Here is a 3,110-nt window from a genome sequence, read left to right on the forward strand (position 1 = left end):
CAGATTTTAAATGAATCCAGATAGGGTGGTGCCACCTTTGTAGAGAGTTACTGCTTTAGGTAGTTTAATCATCTTGATTGTTCTTGTGATGAGTTAGGAGACGATTATCACAACCTAATCAATCCAGAAGTCATGAAGTCTCCACCCACTAATTAAGGTGACTCAATATAAACCTGCCTCCTGTGCCTCCACATTAGCTCGTTTGGAAGACCTGGGTATAGGTGGTCGTCTCCTCGGCTCCGAGACCCTGCAGCAGCTGAGGTGCCTGTGTCTCTCTGGTTCCCAGTGGCCGCCATCATGCTCTCCTCCACACTCAGGGTGGCTGTGGTGTGCGTGAGCAATGTCAACAGGAGCATGGAGGCCCACAGCATCCTCAGGAGAAAAGGGCTAAGTGTCCGGTCTTTTGGAACTGAATCTCATGTGAGGCTACCAGGACCAAGACCCAATCGTCCTGTAGTTTATGATTTTGCAACAACATATAAGGAGATGTACAATGACCTCCTCAGGAAAGATAGAGAACGCTACACCCGCAACGGAATCTTACACATCTTGGGAAGAAATGAGAGAATCAAGCCCGGTCCAGAAAGATTTCAGGAGTGCACTGATTCCTTTGATGTCATCTTCACCTGTGAGGAGAGTGTCTATGACACAGTGGTGGAAGATCTGTGTTCCAGAGAACAGCAGACCTTTCAGCCTGTGCACGTGATCAACATGGAAATCCAAGATACCCTGGAAGATGCCACCCTGGGAGCTTTCCTCATCTGTGAGATTTGCCAGTGCCTGCAGCAGTCAGACGACATGGAAGACAATCTGGAGGAGCTGCTCTTGCAAATGGAGGAGAAGGCAGGAAAAAGCTTTCTTCACACCGTCTGCTTCTACTGAACATCTGGGCTGGCTTTGTCCCCTTCCTCAGTAAGAACTTAGGCATGGGACTTTAGTCCGGATTTATTGTGAGAAGCATCTACAAAGACCTTCCACTGAGTACTGTTTGTGTTACTTTTGTACACATCACCTGAAAAGAGACTATTACCAAGAAAATATTTTATGGGAAATGAGAAGGACTAACATTTTTAAAAGCACTGAAAAATGCTTGGCATTGTGCTAGGTGCATTACATGGCATAACTAATTTCATGCTTATATCATTCTACAAGGAAGCTAGCCCACCATGACGCCATTTTCCAGATGAGCAAACCGAGCTGATAATGGACTGCTGGAAAAATGATTTGTTTAAGGGTATTCAGCAGATAAATAACATTGTATAGATAAGCACCTTTTAAATAAAATTCCTTTTCTCAATTTGAGTGGTTTTTTTTTTAAATTTTTTAATTTTTTAAGTTAGTTGAGACCAATGGAGTGTGGTATGTTAACTTAAATGTTGTTCTTCTTTAATAAGAGTACAATATTACATGTTTGAACAGATAAATGTTTTTACATATAGATTATATCTTTTTTACTAATGCTCACTTTAATAGGTAAAATCCAAGTTGGATAATGAACTACATATGATTGTAAAATTTGGAATTATCTGCTGAAATCATGTCATCAAATTAAATGAAATAAAAAATGTAAATAAAAACTATATTCTTATTTCTGTTTGGGGGATGCATTTCAAGCCACTAAGCGACATGCTTTTGTTTAAACCTTATGAATTACACTGAAAAAAAGGGATCTTTCATAGTGAAAATTTTATTAGGTTTAAAATGTTCATTGGTATGAACATTGAGAACATCAGGTGATAAACCTAATGATGTTTTCAAGGAGAAACAATTGAAACTCTTTTTCATAATCCTTGGTAGTGGCACTAAACCATGTTTACTAATAGGAGAAAAATAGATCAGAAGTAGTTGTTCATAGTTATATTAATTGACATGTTATCTATTGAACTAGACTTATTACGGCAACTTAAAATAACAGCAGAGATTAGCTCTCAAAATGAGTTTATTTGAATGAAGGTCTGGAATCAGGAATACACCGGGTATAACAAGTGACAGGTGTATCCTGAGAGGTTAGGGTAAGGGGAAACTTTTAAGGCAAAAAGAAGTCCACAGAAGCTGCTTTGAAATAAATTTATTGGTCACAGAATCTCATTGCAGGAGTCGGCATTAGCTTCTTGGTGGAGACAGCCATTGCTAGGCATGTGTTCTTGTGAGAACATTTTATGTGGAATGCTGCAGTCTTGAAGATAATGCAGTTATAGAAATATGTGTGGCCATGCAGAATGAGCAAAGTGTGTAAGACCTGCTGATGGTGTAAGGCATGTAGGATGTGCCATAATCTCTCGTGGGTTTTAGAGAGTCCTTGTGATTGTTTTTATCTCAAATACACAAGCATGGGCTCCCCTCCTTCATGACCTTCCAGCTCCACTTCATCAGCCTTCTCCACTGTGAATTTATCCTTTTTCCCATTTTCCATGCTGGACTGTTTAGAAAAAGTCCCTATGTGCAGCCCACATTTAAGGAGTGGGGACTTGTGCCCTACTTCCTTGTGGGTGGATTATCCATGTAAATTATATGGACTTACTCCTCACAGATGTGTCTATTCTCCCCCTCATTAATGAATTTATTCAATTATTTCTTCATAGCAGTATGGAATCTTGGACATTTATTTTTCTATGTGGGATTACAATTCGATCCTGCTTTGTTTTGTTGCTCAAACTTTCTGTTTTGGCCATCGCAAGCACTTTCAGTTGCCTCCTGGGCCCTTTCATGTGCCCCATCGTGGTGTTTGTTTGGTTTTACTTCATTTTTCGTGGAAAAGGAAACACTCTGGCATTATGAGATGCCCCAGGTTCATCTTATATATTTCCAGCCTCAGAATCAACAATTTCTCCAAATAATCCTGTTTGTATTACTGGAGGACGATGAGAGTAATCAAACTCAAGTGTGCTTGATGCTACTAAGGTACCAGTGTTTTCTGTCCTGCCTCCTTCAGCTACATTTAAATTTTTTCCCTTTGTCTTAATTTTCAGTTTGATTGTGAGGCATCTACATACAACTTTCTTTGTTTTTAAGCCTCCTTGAAGTTCTGTGAGCTTTTTCAATCTGTAATATTTTAGCTTTTTCCCTAATTTGAATAATTTCACAATTATTGCCTCAAAAACAAAAATCAG

General features: G+C 39.3%; 1 protein-coding gene across 1 annotated transcript; it reads left to right on the forward strand.

Moving 5' to 3' along the window:
• Positions 1-226: 226 nt before the first annotated feature.
• Positions 227-1,297, forward strand: SSU72L5 (SSU72 like 5). The gene has a single exon (NM_001414002.2). It carries the CDS (start codon positions 298-300, stop codon positions 880-882), a length of 585 nt encoding a protein of 194 aa, NP_001400931.1. The 5' UTR covers positions 227-297; the 3' UTR covers positions 883-1,297.
• Positions 1,298-3,110: the final 1,813 nt, after the last annotated feature.

The sequence above is a fragment of the Homo sapiens genome, chromosome 11 (genome assembly GCF_000001405.40).
Source record: "Homo sapiens chromosome 11, GRCh38.p14 Primary Assembly".
NCBI classification, from domain to species: Eukaryota; Metazoa; Chordata; class Mammalia; order Primates; family Hominidae; genus Homo; species Homo sapiens.